This window comes from Homo sapiens, chromosome 20, assembly GCF_000001405.40.
Source record: "Homo sapiens chromosome 20, GRCh38.p14 Primary Assembly".
NCBI classification, from domain to species: Eukaryota; Metazoa; Chordata; class Mammalia; order Primates; family Hominidae; genus Homo; species Homo sapiens.
This window is the reverse complement of record NC_000020.11, coordinates 53,918,832-53,940,124: the sequence shown is the minus strand read 5'-3', so window position 1 is coordinate 53,940,124 and position 21,293 is coordinate 53,918,832. Positions and strand designations below refer to the sequence as shown.

The 21,293-nt window shown below is 42.9% G+C and overlaps 1 long non-coding RNA gene across 1 annotated transcript in view, besides 3 other annotated features; it reads right to left on the bottom strand.

The window, feature by feature from the left end:
• BCAS1-AS1 (BCAS1 antisense RNA 1) overlaps positions 1 to 21,293 on the bottom strand; it is a 28,093-nt gene that overhangs the window by 3,457 nt on the left and 3,343 nt on the right. Inside the window, exon 2 of the long non-coding RNA NR_199019.1 lies at positions 2,531 to 2,762. This is a non-coding gene — a long non-coding RNA (BCAS1 antisense RNA 1). The remainder of the gene's footprint in view (positions 1 to 2,530; positions 2,763 to 21,293) is intronic.
• Positions 1,061 to 1,355: a silencer, noted in NCBI's record as "tiled region #3819; HepG2 Repressive DNase matched - State 20:ReprD". NCBI's record gives its function as "represses a minimal TATA promoter and a strong SV40 promoter by Sharpr-MPRA in HepG2 cells {active_cell/tissue: HepG2}" and the evidence as "EXISTENCE:reporter gene assay evidence [ECO:0000049][PMID:27701403]".
• Positions 4,612 to 5,113: an enhancer, noted in NCBI's record as "H3K4me1 hESC enhancer chr20:52551551-52552052 (GRCh37/hg19 assembly coordinates)". NCBI's record gives its function as "activates a minimal SCP1, AML or CMV promoter by ChIP-STARR-seq in primed H9 embryonic stem cells {active_cell/tissue: H9 hESC(primed)}" and the evidence as "EXISTENCE:reporter gene assay evidence [ECO:0000049][PMID:30033119]".
• Positions 9,053 to 9,152: an enhancer, noted in NCBI's record as "active region_18138". NCBI's record gives its function as "activates an Ori minimal core promoter by ATAC-STARR-seq in GM12878 lymphoblastoid cells {active_cell/tissue: GM12878}" and the evidence as "EXISTENCE:reporter gene assay evidence [ECO:0000049][PMID:35858748]".

Genomic DNA, 21,293 nt, shown 5'->3' with positions numbered 1-21,293 from the left:
TACTCTCTCAGAAGCTTGCTTTTGTCAAAATGCAGCCACGTGGGGGAGCTGCAGGACCTGGGGTTTTACAATGCCTAGCCCTTTTTCCCTGATTGCCTAACCGGGAAACTGGGCCAAAGCAGCCTGAGAGTGTATTTGTTGATTAACTTCTAGAAAGCAGTCAAGTTTAATTAGGAGAACTAGAACGAGAAAGCTGAACTGGGCAAGTCAGTTGCCTTCTATGATTCTCAGTCCTCCAAATGAAGATAAGGTTGGTTGGTTTGTGTTTCCATCCTTATCTGCTCTATCTTGGAAGAAGCTCAAGGAAGATTGTGTGATTGCAAAACGTTTCAGTTGGTGTCATTGCAATGCATTTAAGTAATCCTTACTGGCCCATCCTGCTCCACAAAGCAGCCTTACCTCTCATCTTCTCCACTCCCAACTAAAGAGCAAGTGATTTAAACTCTGAGTGTCCTCCCTCAACAATGGGCTAATAATAGAGCCTACTCGTGGAGTTGCTGCCAGCATGCAGTGAGATGGTGCATACCAAACATTTAGTGCAGTGGCTGGCACATTGTAAGCACTTAGGAAAGGCAAGCTATTCTATCATGGGGAACTTTTAGCACCAAGTAACAGAAAACCCCTACTTGAATTGGCAGATAATCGTAACAATAAGGGTATTTATCATTTCATATAATAGGTGTTGTATAACATCTTTGGCTTTGATTCTCTGAGACTCTCTTCCAGCTAACAACGATAATGAGGAAATGTATCGTTTCATATAACTGGTGTTAAGTCTCATAGCCTGGCTCTGGTTCTCTGACACTCCATTCTGCCATGTTCCATGGGTTGACTTCATCCTAAAACTGTGCTGAATGATGGATGCAGTTCCAGGCAAGGGGATTATGGGAATACCATAATCAGTTTCAATGAATCATTTTGGTGAAATCATGTTGAGAAGGCAATACAATGATACAGTAGACAGTAAAGCCATTATTGGTATCAGTGGCTTTAAGGCTAACCATTCCCCAAACTAACTGTGTCCCTTCAATTCACACCCATGGGATTTGTGTAATGACGGCCCCCACCTTCCAAAGCAGTGCCACTAGAATGTGAACTTATCAAGATCTGAACCTTCTTGTCTTGCTCATTCATTGTTCTATTGTCAGTGTCTAGCACAATGCCTGGACATGGTAGATACTCAACAAATATTGGTTGAATGGATAAATTGCTAAACAAATATCCTGTGGCCACACCCATTGTGGATTGCCTTATCCTCTAGTGTGAATTTGTTTTAGCTCTGAATGTCTGATCACCCTAACCAGACATCTACCCTTCCCAGGTAACCAGCCCAGTGGTTCTAAAAGTACAGTCCCAGGACCAGCAGCCTCAGCACCACCTGAGAACATGTTAGGAATGCAAACTCTCAAGCCCCACTCCATACCCGCAGAATCAAAAACTCTTGGGGTGGGACCCAGTAACCTGTGTTTTAGCAGCCTCTCAGGAGGTTCCAATGAAGGAGAAAATTTGAAAACCACTGGTCCAGGTAGAGCTACCACTTCACTGAGCATCAACAGCATGTTTGGTCCAAAGACTGGCCCTGAAGATGCTTAGATAAAAAAAGCTAACATTGAACCTCACTATATGCCAGGTATTGTGTGTCACATGACTTAACTTTGTTCACTGCTTATTTGGCAGCTGAGGAAACTAAGGCTCACAGAGAAAAAAACAACTTTGCCCAAGAACACACATGGCAGAGCCAAGGTTGAAATCCAACCTAAGTACATAAAAGCTTGCTTTCATGTCTGTGGGAGAGACAGGCAGGCAAAAAGATAATAATAATACAATGTAAGAGAAGCAAATGCAGGGTGTCATGGGACTCAGGGGAAGGCACTGGCGCAAGACCACAGTGGGTGGAGGTTGGCCACTTTGGGGAGGTGACAGTTGAGTTAACTCACACAGAATGAATAAGCGTTGGACAAAAGGGCTCCCAGAAGAACAGCAAGTGCAAGAGCCCAGGGTCCACAGAGAGAATGGCAGGTAGCTTAGCATGGCTGAAGTGAGACTGTGAGGAGAACGGATAAGAGGATGGAAGCTGGGGAGGTGGCACAGATGGATCTCAAGGACTTGGAGTAAAAAGTCCATAGTAACGAGTTTAAATTGTCTCTTGACGGCAATGGGGAGCCATGGAAGATATTTGAGCTGGAGGGTAACATAGATTTATATTTTGGCTGCAGGTAGGATCTAATACAAAAGCAATTCAACTAATATTCACTAAGTGACCTGAGTTATCTGTGAGATATTTATTATAAGGTGTTAAACTTCTTTGAAGATTGTAAGAAAGAGATAAAACCTCTAAATGGTTTTGACCCTTCAAAGGACATTTAAATGGTTATTTCTAAGTGTCATAAACATGGACTTGGGATTTGGCCTCATCATTCACCCAGATGATTCATACCCATGATCCCAGGCTGTGAGGTCTTGAGCAAATTACTTCTTCTCAGAGCCTTAGTTTGTTCCTCTGTGGAATGGGAATGCTAACAGCACTTACCTCGGAAAGTTGCTGAGAATAAACGAGACCGTGCATTTAGAGCATGTAGGCACCGTGTCTGGCAGGTAATGAGTGCTCAGTCAGCTTATTGATGAGGATGCAGATGACCTCAGCCTGAGATAGAACAGATGTGTTCTCTTTCATGGACTGAAGGCCACCCAGACTTTGCGACATCCTTAAACTTTGCCCCAGTTTCTCCTTATCCTCATAAGCAGTTGGCTGGCTGGCTTATCTAGAAAAAAGAAAGGAGGGAGGAGAAAAAGCAAAGAAAAATGTTCATTTTCCCTGCTGTTCACCCCATTCTAAAGTAAGGCAGAATTTCTGGAGAGGGGGCTCAGGTCCACCCTTGGCTATCCTTGGTTGTACAGTTGCATCTACTTATAACGGTGGCCAAGTCGCCATGGCAGTAGGTGCTGTGGCTGCCCTGCCCCATCGTCTTCAGACTACCCGAGTTTACCTGCAGCACTGACAGCTTCCCACCCCAAAACTCCTCGTTCTTTGCTTTTCCTCTCGGTGGCTTTCTCCAGGGGCTGTAGGAGCTTGTTTAGCCCACCTGCATGGCATTTTGAAAATACCTGAAATTTTATGCCCCGAAGGACAATTCTCAATCAGTGAAAGATGGGAGAGGAAAGGTAAACACCTCAGCTGCCCCATCTCTCAGTGGGACAATGTTGAGGGGTCGTCTTTGTGTTCTCTCAAGGGTCCTCAGCAAGACCGAGCCACCCGTCACCCACAGCAGTAACATACTCATGAGCACGCCCCCCCACCCCACCTTTTGTGCTTCCTGGGATCACTTCCCAAATAAACTACTTGCACCTAAGTTTTTGTCTCAGGGTCTGTGTCTTAGGTTAAAAACCTCTGTGTCGGCCAGGCGCGGTGGCTCACGCCTGTAATCCCAGCACTTTGGGAGGCCAAGACGGGTGGATCACCTGAGGTCAGGAGTTCTAGACCAGCCTGGCCAACATGGTAAAACCCCATCTCTACTAAAAATACAAAAATTAGCCGGGTGTGGTGGCAGACGCCTGTAATCCCAGCTACTCGGGGGGCTGAGGAAGGAGAATCCCATCTCTACTAAAAATACAAAAATTAGCCGGGTGTGGTGGCAGACGCCTGTAATCCCAGCTACTCGGGGGGCTGAGGCAGGAGAATCCCTTGAACCCGGGAGGCAGAGGTTGCCATGAACCGAGATCACACCATCGCACTCCAGCCTGGGGGACAAGAGCGAGACTTTGTTCCAAAAAAAAAAAAGAAAAATCTGTGATCTGTGTCTTAGGGTTTTCTCGGGAACCTCTATCCCATGACAAGGAGCTGAATAGAAGGACATTAATATGGGTGCTAGTTTTAAAGGTACTGGAAGAGTTGAAAAGACAACCATGGGGCCGTGAGGCCCACCCGGAGATTAGAAATAGAACATGGCACATGTATACCTATGTAACTAACCTGCACATTGTGCACATGTACCCTAAAACTTAAAGTATAATTTAAAAAAAAAAAGAAAGAAAGAAATAGAAATAGGCTACAAAAAGAACCACCACTAGAGACACACAGCCAAAGGGAAGAGGTGATGCTTCTGGAGCTAGGGAACCCGGCACCCTGTGGGAAATAGAACCCCATGTGGATGGGGGTGAGGCTGCTTGAGGGTAGCTGGAACCCAATGGAGGCTTCTGCAAGCAGTACCTTTTTGTTGACTGGAGGGAGGAGGCAGGAAAAATACGTGTCAGTGCCGCCCACTGGCTGAACTTAACCAGAAGCCAGTTGGTAATGGAACCTGGGAAATGCAGTTTGAAGAGAAGCTTGGAAAAATGATCTGAGAGTAAACATACAAATACCTAGCACAGTTGGTGGCTTTAAGAGGAGAAAAAAGGGAAGGGAAGGGGAGGGGAGGGGAGGAGAAGGGAGGGGAGGGAAGGGAAGGGAAGGGAAGGGAAGGGAAGTGAAGGGAAGGGGCAACCTTGATTAGTGTCCCACCCCCTTCCCTGGCTCTAAATAAATGAACATGTATGCTATGGTCATGCTGACATCCTTGTCTCCTCCTTTATCTTCAGAAGAGAGCAGTAGCTATGAACACAGGCTCTGGGTCCAAACAGCCTTGGTTGCAATCCCAGTGGTGCTACTTGCTAGCCACGTGGCTTTGAGCAGGTTCCTTAACTTCTTCCAGCTTCACTTTCACATCCATAAAGTGGAGACACTAGTAGAATCCACCTCACTGAGTTGCTGTGGGGATTTAACGATGTATTCCATGCAAAGCACAAAATGAGTGTCTAAGAAATGTTCATGCTTATGGAAACAGACTGTTCTTTGAGTTTCAATCAGCTTATTCAAGTTCCTGCTAAAACATGTTTCTTCTCCTCTTTACCACTCACACCTCCAACTTCAATGTCTAGAATCTACCCCTTGTCTCTACTTCACAGTCTTTAAAGTAAATAAATAAATAAATCTTTCTATTTTCATAGAGGTTCTGTGAGAACTGAGGAGAAACAGCCTTTCTCCTCCCCTCTGGGCTCACAACCCTCTCTCCGCATCCCCTGCCCCCTCCCTATCTTTGCTGGCCAGTTGTTCACAAGTAGCTTAACAGTTTTGAGAATACAAAAACAGGAAATTATGCCCCAGCCCTAAGACTAAAAAACTCATGTGCAAATCCTTCAGTGGACAGATTTCTTCAGCTTTCAAAAACTAAGGCCTTGAAAAATCAGGTCCCATGGCCAAATTTTCTGGATTTGCTTAATCATTTCCTTTGCAAATTTATAACCTCTTTAACCATGAAGAGAGATGGTGAGAAAGGGGGAGGCGGGAGTTGAAAATGTTTTAAGTTAACCGCAAGACAGGACAGGAAATTCTGGAGGGGTGTGCATTTCTCTTTAATCCCTTAGTGGCAGAGAGGCCTAAGATAGCAGCTCTGGAAAACTATTTATTGTCCCAGAAATGACCGTTCTGGGATATTGTTTTGCTGTTGATATTGACCCAGAGGAAAATGTGGCAGCCTTCTTCATTCAGTGGCTTAACAGAGAATAGAAGAGCAGGGAAGGCTCTGAGACACCCCGGTCTGATCCTTTACTTGACTCATGCAACAGACACTTATTGAGTGGCTGCCCTGCCCTCCAATGGATAGAGAGGACTGAGACAGCCTCCCAAAGAGGTGAAATAACTTCCTCGCTTTTTCAATGCCATTTGAAAAGTTAAGGAATCTACTGGGGGCTGTCTACTAGAAGAATCTAAAATAGGTGATCCAAAGCTGTTTTATTATTAAAATTCCTGAAAGACAAAAAGAAGTGACTTTTTTTTTTTTTTTTTTGCCCTTCCTTCTCACTTTCTGAGTTTTTCTTGGCTAATCGGAGTTATGTACTTTTTTTAACCTTTAAGGTAAGTTCCTGTCTTTAGCAGTGGTTTTTATTTGAAGCCAGGGCCCAACCCACTTATGTTGATCCAGCAAATGAAATGGAATGGAACAGAATGGAATAGAATAGAATACAACAGAAAGCTCATGGTGCATCACGGGTAATATGGTTAACATCCATTAGTGGAAGGTTTGTTTTGATTACTAATGTATGTGTATAGACTCAAAATGTATTTCTTATTATGATTTGTAATAAGAAAACTTTAAAAGCCTCTGATCTTTAATATAGTTCAGCAGCGAAAGGTGTGGGATCTAGAGTCTACTGGCATGAGTTTGAATGTCAGCCTGTCACTCTGACCGGCTGTTTGATGTTGGACAAGCTGATTATCCTCTCTGAACCTCACTTACTTAAGGGAAATACAACACAATAAAGAGAGATATAAAGTGAATATTGGATATCACAGTGTCTGAATTTCTGGGGTCATTTATCTGCAGAAAATGCCATCCTGCCCCCTATATCTTTCCTTTGGCCCAGCGTTCTGCCAGTTGTCTAGGGTCTACTCACCTTAGGTAAAGCTACTTCCTCTATCTTAACCTCTCTTGATTTGATCTCCCTTCATTCCCTCTACCTCCACTTGCTATCTCTAACATCATCTGTGGAAAACCAAAGCCATTTAATATGTGAAATTTCTCTTGGGAAAAATGGCTACATAGTTGCAGACCATCTTACCTACTGAGTACAAACATGAAAGCTAGACAAATACCTCGAAGGCATCCTAAAAGAGAGATGCAGTGCTCCACTTCAATTGAAAGCAACAATAAGACTGACAGCTGATTCAGCAGAACTAATCAAAGTCTGAGGACAAACTCCTTAAAAAAAAAAAAAAAAGATAAGATGGAAAAGAAAAAGAAAGAAAAGAAGAAAGAAAAACAAAAGGGGTTTAAAAAAAACCCTGCCAACCTATAGTTCTACACCCAGTAAGAAATAGCTATCAAAATTGAAGATTGCTATGTTTTCAGATAAACAAAAACTAAATTCTATATTACCAGCAGGTCCTTACTAAAAGAAATACTAAAAGATACTCTTTAAGAAAAAAATAAAATGATCTCAGATGGAAGAATAAAAACATAGGAAAGAATTAAAAGCAACAGAAGGACAAATGTGTCGGTAAATCTAAACGAATACCAACTCTATTAAAAGATCATAATAATGTCTTCTGGGATTTAAAAAATATATAGAAGGCCAAGTGTGGTGGCTCACACCTGTAATTCCAGCACTTTGGGAGGCCAAAGTGGGTGGATCACTTCAGGTCAGGAGTTTGAGACCAGCCTGGCCAACATGGTGAAACCCCATTTCTACTAAAAATACAAAAATTAGGCAGGCATGGTGGTGCATGCCTGTAATCCCAGCTGCTCGGGAGGCTGAGGCAGGAGAATCACTTGAACCCGGGAGGCAGAGGTTGCAGCAAGCCAAGATTGTGCCACTGCACTCCAGCCTGGGCGACAGAGCAAGCCTCCATCTCAAAAAGAAATAAAACATAAAATAAAATAAAATATATGTAGAGTTCAAATACATGGTAGCAATAACACAAAAGGTAGTCAAGAAAAAAACGGTACTAAACATGTTCCAAATTATTTTATTGCCTGAGAGCTAGCAAATGTACTAATTTTATTAGACTCTGATAAGTCAGGAATTATCATTGTAATCTATAAGGTAATAAAAAATATAGAAAAAACAAGCTAATAGGAGAAGCACAATGATTGAAAAAAGACCTCATTAATTTAAAAGGTCAGAAGGGAGAAAAGGGGGAACTGGTAAAAGTTGAAACTAATTAAAATAGTAATATATTAATATTGTGATAGTACTATACTAATAATTACTTTAAGTGTAAATAGACTAAATATTCCAACTAAAAGACAGATTTTATGCTAAATTAAAAAAAAACCCAAATATAATCTTCTTACAAGAGATAAGACCTAATATAAGCACACAGAAAAGATGAAAATAAAGATAGAAACAGATATTTCATGAACATACTAATCAAAAGAAAGCTAGTGTAGCTATTCTAGTATCAGATGAAATACACTTTAAGAAAAGAAACAATATAAAAGGTAAAGAGGATTATCTTATAATAACAAAAAGGGTCAATCCTACAAGAAAAAGCAATTCTAAATCTACAGTACCTGCTAGAATAGTTTCAATATACATAAAGCAGAAACTGCCAGATCTAAAAGGAGAAATAAATCCACAATTATAGAAGTAGGCTTTAACCTATTTCTATCAGCAACTGATAAACAAAAAGATAATTTAAGTCAGTAAGAATGGAGAAATTTTGACCAGCACTATTTACACACTCAGCCTAACTGACATTTGTAGAACAAACCAACCAATAACTGCACACTACCTCTTCTTTTTCTAAGTGCACACGGAACATTTAACAAAAGTTGTCACATGCTGGACTATGGAGTAGGTCTCAACAAACTTCAAATGCTAAAAACACACAATATGTTCTCTGACTACAGTGGAATTAGCTAGAAACCAATAACTAAGGATAAGAAAATGTCTAAATAATTGAAAATGAGGCAAAGCAATCCAAATAGCTCATGATTTAAGAGAAATCACAGTAGAAATTAGAAAATATTTATTTGACATATCAAAATGTAGGATTCAGCTAAAGCTGTGCTTATAGGGAAATGTTTATCTTTAAATACACATATTAGCTAACAAGAGAGGAAGAAAATCAATGACCTAAGCACACACTTTAGAAAATTAGAAAAATAAAAGCAATCAAACCTAGAAAAATTAGAAACAAGGAGATAATAAAGACAGTTATGAAAAGAAAATAAATGTACAACAAAACATCTCTTTGCAGAGATGCAACACCTCTTATTGATAGATTAACAGACCTACCATTCATTTGTTCATCCATCCTTGCATTCGTTCATTCATTGAATAAATATTTACTGAGAATCTATGCTGTGGATAAGGCACTGTTCTAATTTCTTAGAATAAAGAAGTGAACAAAACAAAGTTCTTCCCTTCAAGGAGCTTATATTTTGGTACAGGAAACAGGCAATAAACAAACAACTAGTGATAAGATGTCAAAAACTGGAATATGCTATTAGTAAATGAAAAAGTGGAGTAATACCGAGAAAAGGGCATGTGAATTTAGTTGGGTTGATCAGGGAAAGGCTCTTTTAAGATGACATTTGACCACAGAGTTTCATAGACTGGGGAGTGAATCATGCAAATATGAGGAAGAAAAGCATTCCAGACAAAAGGAAGAGGTACTGTACAAGCCCTAAGGTGAATGCACATTTGACACATTGAAAAGAGCTCGTGTGCCCTTGGATAATGTTGGACAGGCTGTCAGAAACCAGAAAGACCTTGTAACCATGATGGTAAGACCTGGATTTTAGCCTGAACTTGATAGGAAGATGCTAGAGCATTTTGGGCAGGGAAGTGACAGAATCTGATCATTCATAAGACCTGCTTTTCCATTTCTCTTCCAAGTAGGTTAATTTGTCACTTTCCTCCCTGACAGGCTTTAAATTCTGTAATTCAAGTTCTATTAGCATGATTTTCCAAGGAAAAAGCAAACTTTCTCCATAAATACATCCTCCTGCCCTCCTGCCAGGAGAGAGAGGGCTTCAAGCAGCTTTTCTAAGAGCGATTTTTTTCACCCCATGATAGTTGGATGTTAGGAAAGTGACAGAGACAGAACAAGTCATAAACATCACTGAGGTCTGAGGTTGGTTGAACAGGTGTATGTGAAAACCCTTAACCCCACCAGGAAGGACGTGTGACTATGAGGAGGGAGTAAAAATATGATGAAACTGTTAGTGGACTTTCTGTTCTGAGCTCAAGAAACATTTCCACCATGCAAGCAAGTAGAAATGTAAATGACACTTCAGAGAAGAGTTTCCAGTCAAAGATATGGGTGCAGTAGCCTTCAAAAGACAGTGATCATTTCAGCAACAATTTTCAACGCAACCTCCCCAGTACAGCCTACAGTCATGTTTCTTCGGGAAAGGGCAACGCATTCTGCTAAAACTTGAATTTGTTTCCAAGATTTAAACACCAGAAAAATGCATATGCAAATTCAGATTTCCATGTTCTCTTGAAATATTGGAAGTTGGGGGATCACGGACAAAATATAGGACACCAAATGACCCTTCCCCTTTGCTGGGGCTTAGTCTCACTTTTACACAATCCCCACAGAACTCTTCTTACCTGCTCAGCCCCCAGAGCTGTCTGCAGATATGCTCTCTAGTTTAAGAAATGAGGTTGATGAATTGGGGAAGAGAAAGCACCTTTCTCAAAGCATTTCCCAGAGGACCACCAATCCTATAAGGTATTCTAAGGGATATAAAGCTTCACATTGTGCTAGGCAGAATTCTAAAGTGGTCCCCAAGATTGTCCCCTCCTTGACCTGGTGTACATGGCATCCATAATCCCCTTACCTGGAACATTGGCTGGACCTTTGAATTGATGAGCTTTCACTACTATGATTAAGTTACATGACAAAGGTAAAAGAATGTTGTATCTAAGGTCCCCAGTCAGTTGACTCTGATTTGATCAAGAGGAAGTTTATCCTGGGTAGGCCTGGTTTAATCAGGTGATCCCTTAAAAGGAACTAGGGAAGCAGCAGCAGACGTTGTCCCATGGCTTTGTATGGGACACAAGACAAACTGCCATGCTGTGGAGAGAACAACACAGCGGCCAACTAGGAGCTCCAGGAGCTGAGTCCCTCAGTCCTACAACTGCCCAGGAACTGAATTCTGTCAAAAACTAGTGGGCTCAGAAGAGGACCCAGGCCTCAAATGAGATGACAACCCTGACCAACATGTTGATTTCAGCCGAGTGAGACTCAAAGCGAAGGACCCATCTAACTTATACCCAGAGTCTCAAACTGTTAGACAGTAAATGGGTATTGTTTTAAGTGACTAACTCTGCAGTGATTTGCTACATAATGATAGAAAATCAATACACCTGTGTCCATTCAACAAGATTTAATGAGAGCACCTACTGCATGTTACGTGCTGTTGTAGAAACTGAAGATGCACAGAGAGCGAGGCTGACAAAGTTCTTGCTCTCCTGGATCTTACAGTCTAGCTGCACAGAGAGCGAGGCTGACAAAGCTCTTGCTCTCCTGGATCTTACAGTCTAGCGGGGAAAGTCAGATAATAAATAGGAAAAACAAAGGCCGGGCACGGGCGGCTCATGCCTGTAATCCCATCCTTTGGGAGACCAAGGCAGGCAGATTGCTTGAGCTCAGGAGTTTGAAACCAGCCTGGGCAACATGGCAAAACCCCATCTCTACTAAAGATACAAAAAAAAAAGGCCAGGTGCGGTGGCTCACGCCTGTAATCCCACTACTTTGAAAGGCTGAGGCGGGCGGATAACCTGAGGTTGGGAGTTCGAGACCAGCCTGACCAACATGGAGAAACCCCGTCTCTATTAAAAATACAAAACTAGGCAGAGCACGGTGGCTCACACCTGTAATCCCAGCACTTTGGGAGGCCGAGGCGGGCAGATCACGAGGTCAGGAGATCGAGTCCGTCCTGGCTAACATGGTGAAACCCTGTCTCTACTAAAAATACAAAAAATTAGCCGGGCGCCTGCAGTCCCAGCTACTCTGGAGGCTGAGGCAGGAGAATGGCGTGAACCCAGGAGGCGGAGCTTGCAGTGAGCCGAGATCGCGCCACTGCAGTCTGGCCTGGGCGAAAGAGGGAGACTCCGTCTCAAAAAAAAAACAAAAAACAAAAAACAAAACTAGCCAGGCTTGGTGGTGCATGCCTGTAATCCCAGCTACTCAGGAGGTTGAGGCAGGAGAATTGCTTGAAACCGGGAGGCAAAAGTTGCAGTGAGCCGAGATCCCGCCATTGCTTCCAGCCTGGGCAACAAGACCAAAAACTCCTTCAAAAAAAAAAAAAGATACAAAAAAATTAGCTGGGTGTAGTGGTGTGTGCCCTTAGTCCCAGCTACTCAGGAGGCTGAGATGGGAGGATTGCTTGAGACTGGGAGGCGGAGGTTGCAGGGAGCTGAGATGGCATCACTGCACTCCAGCCTGGGCAACAGAGCAGGGTCACACGTTTGACCTTCAGTGGTCACACGTTTTTGGGTTTTTGTTTTGTTTTGTCTAACAAAAAACAAAAAACGTGTGACCACTGAAGACTAAGCAGGACAGAATATAACTTCGTCATGCACACTCCTGAAGGTTATATTAATAGATTCTGGGTTACTGACTCTAAGTAGCAGAAACTAATCAGCAAAGATAATTCAAGAGGTTACATAAGCAAAAATAATAGTAATAAATAGGAAAAAAGAGATATCGTTTTATTAATGTTGATAAATGCCACACATCCCAAAATACTAAGTCAGGGAAAGAGGACGGGATGTTATGGATAGCCAGCGACAGCTTCTCTGAGGAGGTGACATGGAGCATGAACCTGAAGGACAAAGGGAGCAAGCCCTGGAGGAATCTGAGACAACATCATGGTTTGAAAACACCCACTGTTGTCTTTCTCTTGAGGATCCCCAGGACACGTGAGGATACTAAAGGTTCTGAGAATCCCTGCAGTAAATAACCAGTTGCAAGTTGCTGAGCCCAGTGCCCCTGAACTTATTAAAACCTGTGATTCCACGAATTAGTCATCCTCTTCACAAACTTTGTAAAATATTGGATCAGCGGCCGGGCACAGTGGCTCACTCCTGTAATCCCAGGTATTCAAGACCAGCCTGGCCAACATGGCAAAACCCCATCTCTACTAAAAATACAAAAATTAGCCAGGCGTGGTGGTGCCTGCCTATAGTCCTAGCTACTCGGGAGGCTGAGGCAGGAGAATCACTTGAACCCGGGAGGCAGAGGTTACAGTGAACCGAGATTACGCCACTGCACTCCAGCCTAGGTGACAGAGTGAGACTCCATTTCAAATATGTGTGTGTGCGTGTGTGTGTGTGTGTATATATATACACACGCCCCATATATATATATACATGTATGTATAAGATCAGGAGCCAAATCCCCGGGGAGCACCTATTTTAGATGTGAAGGGAAAAAGCAGATAGAAATTGGTCCAGAGAAAGAGGTGAGCTTCCAGTGCACCCTCCACACAGCGGCCAGAATGAGTCTTTTAAAATTTAAGTCAGATCAGCTCCAAGCCTTCCAATGGAAGAAACGGGGAGAGGAGTTTGGAGGCTGTTGCTGTCACGCAGCTCAGTGATGACTGGAATTTGACTGAGGTGCTGCTGCAGGATGGTGAGGAGTGATCAGATTCTGGATTTATTTAGAAGATGGGGCGGGTGGGGTTTGCTGTTGGACTGGATGAGGGTAGGAGACAAAGGCAGGAGCCCAGGTTGATGATGAAGGACTCGGGGCTCTGAATCAGGAGCGGCTGATTCATGCTGTGTAGTTAGCATTTTGGAAAGGTAGGGGTGTGTGTGTGATGCAGTCAGATGGTAGTCAGGAGCATTTACATACGTGAGTCAACCTGGGAGTGAACTTGTGTCCAACTGAACATGAAGCAATTATTCAAAGTTGGTTTCCGGAATATTCCCAGGGTGAAATAACTTCCTGTGTTTATCACTGCCTTCTCAGTTGAAGTGTTTGCTTGTCTAGTGAACTGAGTTAGCCTTGTCTGTTGAAACTGGCAGTGGTGGGGCATGTAGGAAAAAAAAATTCTATGAAAATCTCAGGGAGCTGACAGACACTTCTAAAAGAAAAGAAAGTGAACAACATTATCCCTGGCCTCTTTTATGAGAGGGGAATTGATTGATTTATTCAATGCCTGATTGAGTATTGCCTATGAGTAAAGATTTAGGGGAGTGATAAATCAGAAAAACACAGAACACCCCAGTATAATGGGAGGGAGCCACTCCAAAGGCCAAATGTCGAGAAAATACTATAGGAGCTGCCACATGCATAACTGTATTGCAGACCCCTGTGTGATATGCTGGAAGTCTTGGTTAAGAACATGGATTCCCACTGAGCTAAGTGGGAGAGCTTGTTCAAGCTAAGACACTGAGCTAGAACATCCTGTCTCAGTTTCTTCACTATAAAATGGGCGTGGTGCTATTATGGTAATAATGGCGTTGTTCTATGGTGATAATACCATCATCATGGAAGTAAATCAGATACAGACACACACTGCTCAGAGCAGTGCCTGGCATCAAGTTAGCACAAAATCAGCATCTGCAACGTTTATTATGACGCTGTTTCAGACATGTATTTTTCTTTATTATGAAACCACAACGTATTTTTAAACGTTAGAGGAGAGAACGGAAAAACAACCATGATAATCCCATTCCCCGGCACAATCTTAATTTTACACAGTCCTTGCAAATATTTTTTACATTGACCATTTCATACTTATGAAAGTAGCTGGCATATAGTAGGCACTCAATTAAATGCTCGCTGGCTGACTCCCCAGTTCAGTGCAAACTATTTTGTTTTATGCTTTGTGTATGTAAAATTATATCAGATATATTTCGCTTTGGTTTCTTTTTCCTCATAAACAACACGATTACAATTTTATGGCTACAAGATATCTCATGGTGTCAGTGTAACAAGCCTTGAATAAGTCATTTTTCTTTTGCTGTACTATTATACGTGGAATTACTACAAACCACACTATTTTAGATAACACCACATTGAACTGTTTTGTACACAGTGTTTTGCCTTTTTTTCTAAAATTTCTTAAGACAACTGTGGAATTTGGAAATAAATACTCTCAGCTAAACTTTTAAGTTATCTGTTAGGTAGCCTAAAAAAGTTAAACCAAAATGAGATTCTTTTTATAAGATCAGGTTGTAATAAAATGAACTTCACAAGATGACAGTCACGTGAACGAAATAGTGACCTCATTTTCATTTTGAAAAGCTGCTTTCCCCTCTTCTGAAAAAGTTGTATTAGAAACGATTCCTCCAATACTCTAGTGATCTTTTATCTGAGATTAATAAAAGATACGAGTATTTTGATGTATTCATTAACAAAAGAACAATAAATTCACCTTTAGTAGGTGTAAGTAAGGAAAGATCTCAGCAGATCTGGTTAACTCTAAGTCTGGCTTTAGAAAGCCACAGTGGGTTGGGCATGGTGGCTCACGCCTGTAATCCCAGCACTTTGGGAGGCCGAGGCGAGTGGATCACCTGAGGTCAGAAGTTCAAGACCAGCCTGGCCAACATGGCGAAACGCTCTGTCTACTAAAAATACAAAAATTAGCCAGGCGTGGTGGCAGGCACCTGTAATCCCAGCTACTCGGGAGGCTGAGGCAGAATTGCTTGAACCCGGGAGGCAGAGGTTGAGGTGGGCTGAGGTCATGCCACTGCCACTCCAGCCTGGGCAACAGAGAGAGACTCCATCTCAAAAAAAAAAAAAAAGAGAGAGAGAGAGAATCTTTCTCCTCAAACTCTCTTTTCTTTATCCTTTTTTTTATTATTTATTTATTTATTTATTTTAAGAGACAGGGCCTTGGTCTGTCACCCAGGCTGGTGTGCAGTGGCGTAGTCATGGCTCACTGCAGCCTCAAACTCCTGAGCTCAAGAGATCCTTCTGCCTCAGACTGCTAAGTAATTGAGACTACAGGCACATGCCACCATGCCCAGCAATCTTTTCATTTTTTTGTAGAGAATGTTTTGAGCTATGTTGCTCAGGCTGGTCTTGAACTCCTGGCCTCAAGGAATCTTCTCATCTTGGCCTCCTAAAGTTCTGGGATTACAGGCAAGAGCCACCACAGCCAGCCATGTCCTTTCTTATTTTATCACCTGAATTATGGCCATAAGGCAGGATGAAAAGAAAATAAAATTAGAGAACCTGAGAATGAAATCATTGATTCAGTAACTGTTGCATGTTCTCCTCTATGGAGTTATTCCATTTAATCTTCAGAGGAACCCAGTGAGGTGGGGTTCTTCATCTCCTTTCTACACATGAGAAAACTGAGGTGTAAAGAAGTTACAGAATTTGCCAGAAGCCACAGAGCTGTTAAGCAAAAAAGCAAAGATTCCAAATGGGAGTGTGTGATTCCCAGTTTGCAGACTTAATCACGAGGCTGCATCGCCTCCTGCCATGTTGGGGAAAGCAGCGGGGTCAGTATGAGGGAGGCGGGCAGAGTCCTTCTCTCAGCGAATCACACAACTTGTTCAGGTCAGCCTGAGGAGACAGGGGCCACATCTTTGTTGCTAGCTTGTGTCTATAGCTCCCTAGAGTTCTGTGTTTCTCTTATAAAGTTAAGAACACACAACACCCCCTTGAGTTAGGAGCAGGAAAGAGTTGACTTTTGTTACCCAGTCTTGGAGAAGTTGATGGTTCTAGGTCCTTTTAATGGTGTGGAGGCCTGACATTTGATATCTGGGGAAAAGGTGGGAGAAAAAAAACTCCAAAATCCAAGCCCAGGCTGCTTACGGCCTGCTTGCCTGATTGCTTGTCAAACAGGAACCCTTCCTTGGCTGTCTTCCCTCCTAAATGATTTTCAAACTACAGTTTTAAAAACAGTTCCTTTGGGGAATTATAAAAGCAATGATGTTTTTGACGGAAAATTGTTGTGTCAACAGAAATGCATGAAAAATAAAATCACCAATTTCCTCATCACCCAGAGAGAACCACTGTTAACATTTTAACCACTTTTCCTTCTTTTTTTCTTTATGCAGAAATACTATTTTGTAAGCACTCAACTGCATAAAGTTTCATAGCATGCACTTTTAAAATTAAACATTGTATTACCAGCATTTTCCCATGTTTTAAAATTTTTCTAAAACTTGAAAAACATGATTTTTAATAACTACCTAATAGTCTACCCTACAGGTTATTATAACATTTAATAATTTCTCTATTGGTGGACATTCCTTTGTATCCTATTTCAAGCAACATTTCCCCCATGCAAATGTTTAGCCTTTATACAGAGATTATAATTTGATTCTACCAATCAAACTATTTTTATTTCACACCAACTTCCTTCTAGGCTTTTCTGTATCAGAAGAGTTGGGATGTAAATTACGGGAGTGATCTCAGCTCAGAAACAAATTCCATTGCTGTACCGTAGCAGCAACGCCCTCTGAGGAGAAGCCAACATGCCCTTTTAGTGAGCTTTTGGGTCACTCCAGTTAAAAGCAAACCAACACAGAAGTTTCCCTTGACTGTCTTCCCCCATCCTGTAGCCCTATGTTTCACTTCCCCTTAATTTCAATTTCTGCCTCTTTACCTCCCATTTACTTCTCAGAATGTTGTAATCTATTTTCCACTCCCATAACTGCTGAAACAGCCCTTGCAAAACACGAAATCCATTGTGCTATGCTTTAATTTCTAATTGCACAAGTGATACACAACAGCACTTTCTTAGTTAAAATGATAATCAACAATTTAAAGATAAAGGTAAACATTAAATTCATTTTTTTTTTATTTTTTTATTTTTTCTGAGATGGAGTCACGCTCTGTCGCCCAGACTGGAGTGCAGTGGCACAATCTTGGCTCACTGCAACCTCCACCTCCCGGGTTCAAGTGATTCTCCTGTCTTGGCCTCCCAAGTAGCTGGGACTACAGGCATGTGCCACCATGCCTGGCTAATTTTTGTATTTTTAGTAGAGATGGGGTTTTACCATATTGGTCAGGCTGGTCTCAAACTCCTGACGTCAAGTGATCCTCCTACCTCGGCCTCCCAAAGTGCTGAGATTACAGGCATGAGCCACTGCCCCTGGCCTAAATTCACTTTTAACCACTTATTCCCAATCTCAGGAACATCAAGGGTATCTAGTGTTGTATATGTGATGCGTTTTCTTCAGATCCTGTTTCTAAAGAAGTGGGGGTGGAAATGAGAGGGGGAAGAGGAGGGAGGAGGAGAGGGAGAGGAAGCCGCAGCACAGGCCATCTATAACGCTATATTTTCCTATAACTCCACTTTTTTGTGTGAGGGGGCGTTTCTTTTTGGTTTTGTTTGTTTGTTTTTTGAGATGGAGTCTTGCTCTGTCACCCAGTCTGGAGTGCAGTGGCACGATCTCGGTTCACTGCAACCTCTGCCTCTGGGGTCCAAGCAATTCTCCTGCCTCAGCCTCCTGAGTAGCTGGGATTACAGGTGCCCGCCACCACGCCCGGCTAATTTTTGTATGTTTAGTAGAGATGGGGTTTCACCATGTTGGCGAGGCTGGTCTCTTGGCCGGGCTGGTCTTGAACTCCTGATGCACGTTTAGGTTGTTTCTAGTTCTTCACTGAAACAAATAATAATACAACAAAGGGCACCCTTTACCACTTCTCCCTGTGCACCCATGAGAATTTCATTTCTCTAGGGCAGGTAAAGAATTGCACCTGCAGGCTGATTGAGTGCGCACTTTTCCTTTTAACATTAATAGGCTCCGACAACCTCTCCACCACCACCACAACGCGGCACATTTACATCAACAACCCATTTCAACCCCATGCTACTCGGCTCTTCAGTAGCCTCGTACAGCAGGTTCCCCACTTCTATCTTTTATTCCACTTTGCCTTCCTGTTGCTTGCCCGCTCTCCCAGCCCAAGCTTCTAAATCCCTTTTGCAATCTTCTCCTTTTCTATCTGTCCTGAAATGTGATTGTTGCCTGGAATTCTCCTTGTTGTGCCTGAATGATCTCGTATATTCCTATGACTTGCACAACCGGTTCCCTCAGGGGTCACAGACTCAAATACTTACCGAAGGCAGGTGGGGCAAAGAAATACTAGGGAATCCGTGTACCTCCCCCAATACCCAAGCCCCGACCCCACCCCCCAGCTCCAGCTGTTGTTGCTTTATTGGAATCTATGCCTAATACTCTCAGATTTCTTTTTCTCCAAAAGGAGGTGGAAATCTAGCTTTAAATATAAGTGCTCGCATTTTCTTAAGAAATGAAAATCAATTCAAAAGAAATTTTAATCCCTTGTGTTCAACAAAACACCCCTGTGGAGTAGGTTCAGCTGCCAAGATCCCAGATGGTGACTTCGACCTCAAACAAAATCACTCTCTTCCTCAAATTCTCCCTTTCCTAACACCCACCTGTGCCTTATCCAGTCAGACACCACTCCCGTGAGTGACTGAGAAATCATTCCAGAATTCAGCCCATCGTTCTGTCCTGTCATTGCCTTAATTCCAACTCTCAACAAATCAAATCCTGACTGTGACCAGAACATCCTAACTGGCTTTCCTGCCATTAGGCAATGCCTACCCTACCTGCCTTGTGCTACCCTCCACTCCATTCAAAAGCATCCTTGCCACGGCCGCTGGAGAGAACCTCATGTCAGAGGAGGCAGGGAGGGGAGAAGGAAGAGGTGGAGGCAGAGAGGAGGAGGAGAAAGGGAAAGCATCCGTGTCTTCCCTGCTCAGAGTGCCTTGCTAACGCCATGTTGCCCATCAAACAGTTGCTAACTGTGGCCACCTTTGTTCAGCACTTGACCCATTATAAAATTTGATCCAACATTATGACGTCAGATTTCATACAAGTATTTAGATACTGGGCTTTTCCTGATAAATCTAACTTGCCCTAGCCGCGATGGCTCACACCTGTAATCCCAGTACTTTGGGAGGCTGAGGCGGGCGGATCACAAGGTCAGGAGTTCGAGACCAGCCTGGCCAATATGGTGAAACCCTGCCTCTACTAAAAATACAAAAATTAGCCAGGCATGGTGGCAGGCACCTGTAATCCCAGCTACTCAGGAGGCTGAGGCAGGAGAATCGCTTGAACCTGGGCGGCAGAGGTTGCAGTGATATAAGATTGCGCCACTGCACTCCAGCCTGAGTGACAAGATCGAGACTCCGTCTCAAAAAAAAAAAAAAAAAAAAAAAAATCTAACTGGCTTGTAGCGGTAGGTCTTTAGTCTCCCATGGAATCAGTCCTCTAGAGCCAGGTAGTGACCATTGCTTTGGGGAGTCACATGCTTTACAGCCCTGCAGTTTTTCTCCTTTCTCTATTTCTGTACCCTGGCCAGCCTCATGCACGGATGTTACTGCCTGGCCCTAAAAGAGTTTCCAACCACCGAACCAAAGGCCAAAATTCAGTCTGTTAATGTGCCCGCAAGACCCTGTGTGATCAGCCCCTATGCCCCGCCATAGTCTCTACTCCCGGCCCTTCCCTTCATCCCCATCCTTTCTTCCACCGCTAATAACAGTTGACTCACAAAGAAATTGTTTCAGACCTGAACCTAACCACCACTCAAATGCCATGGTTGTTTTCGTTACTTAAATCAAGGCAGACAAACTCCGTTCAGAGAGGTCTTCCCTTTGGCTCGATAAATCTCTCTTCAAATCGCTAATGAAGTTGAACTTGCTCTAGACACTGCATTTCAGGTTTACGAAACTACTACTGAAGCTCTTCATTTAGTTCTCAGGAGTGCACTACTCAGCACAGATGCTAATAGAGGGAGACTGAGTTGCTGACGGACAAAGACACAGCTAATTTATTTAAAATCCCAAGGAGCAGTGCAGTTAAGCTCAGCCAGTAAGAATGAGGTTTACATTCTTAGAGCACACACACACACACCCCTTAACTGTCTCCTCGACATATATAATTATTATACATAATGATTATTTTGCTCCATGGTAGTTACAAATAAAAGTTGCTCCTATAAACTACTGAGTTAGGATGATTTTTGTAAAACTAGATACAAATTTCCATGCTTTAAAGATTCTTTGAAATGGTAAAGTCTACTTTACTTTAGACTTATGACGCTTACCCCTAATTGGGTCTCCCTTCTTTATTTATTTATTTAGAGACAGAGTCTCACTCTGTTGCCCAGACTGGAGTGCAGTGGTGTGGTCTTGGCTCACTGCAACCTCCGCCTCCCGGGTTCAAGCGATTCTTCCCCTCCCTCAGCCTCCTGAGTAGCTGAGATTACAGGCACATGCCCAGCTAATTTTTGTAGTTATAGTAGAGATGGGGTTTCACCATGTTGGCCAGGCTGGTCTTGAACTCCTGACCTCAGGTGACCCGCCTGCCTCGGCCTCCCAAAATGCTGGGATTACAGGAGTGAGCCACGGCGCCCAGCTGAGTCTCCCTTCTTAGTATTAATAACGTGATTTCAACTTGGTGTGTGAGGGCGAAGGGGAGGGGTCGCGGGGGATTAAAACTACATTTCCCAGCCTCCTTTGCAACTAGGGGTGGCCATTTAACAGACCTCTGGCCAATGAGATGTCAGAATCATTGATTGAGGCTTCCCCAAAAGCTCCTTAAAGGTGGAGGTGGGGTTGCACGTAGGAGTGCAGACATCAGTGATTCCTCCTGCCCTTCTCCCTGGAAGACGATGTGACCATCTGCTACCTGGAAGACTAGGTGACGATCAAAGAAGGGTCAAAAAATCTGGCCTTAAAATCCACACCACATCAACTACTACTTTCCGTGTTTTAAAGATTCTTTGAAATGGTAAAGTCTACGTGATGCTTACCCCAATTGGGTCTAATTGAGTCGCCCTTCTTTCTTTCTTTCTTTTTTCTTTT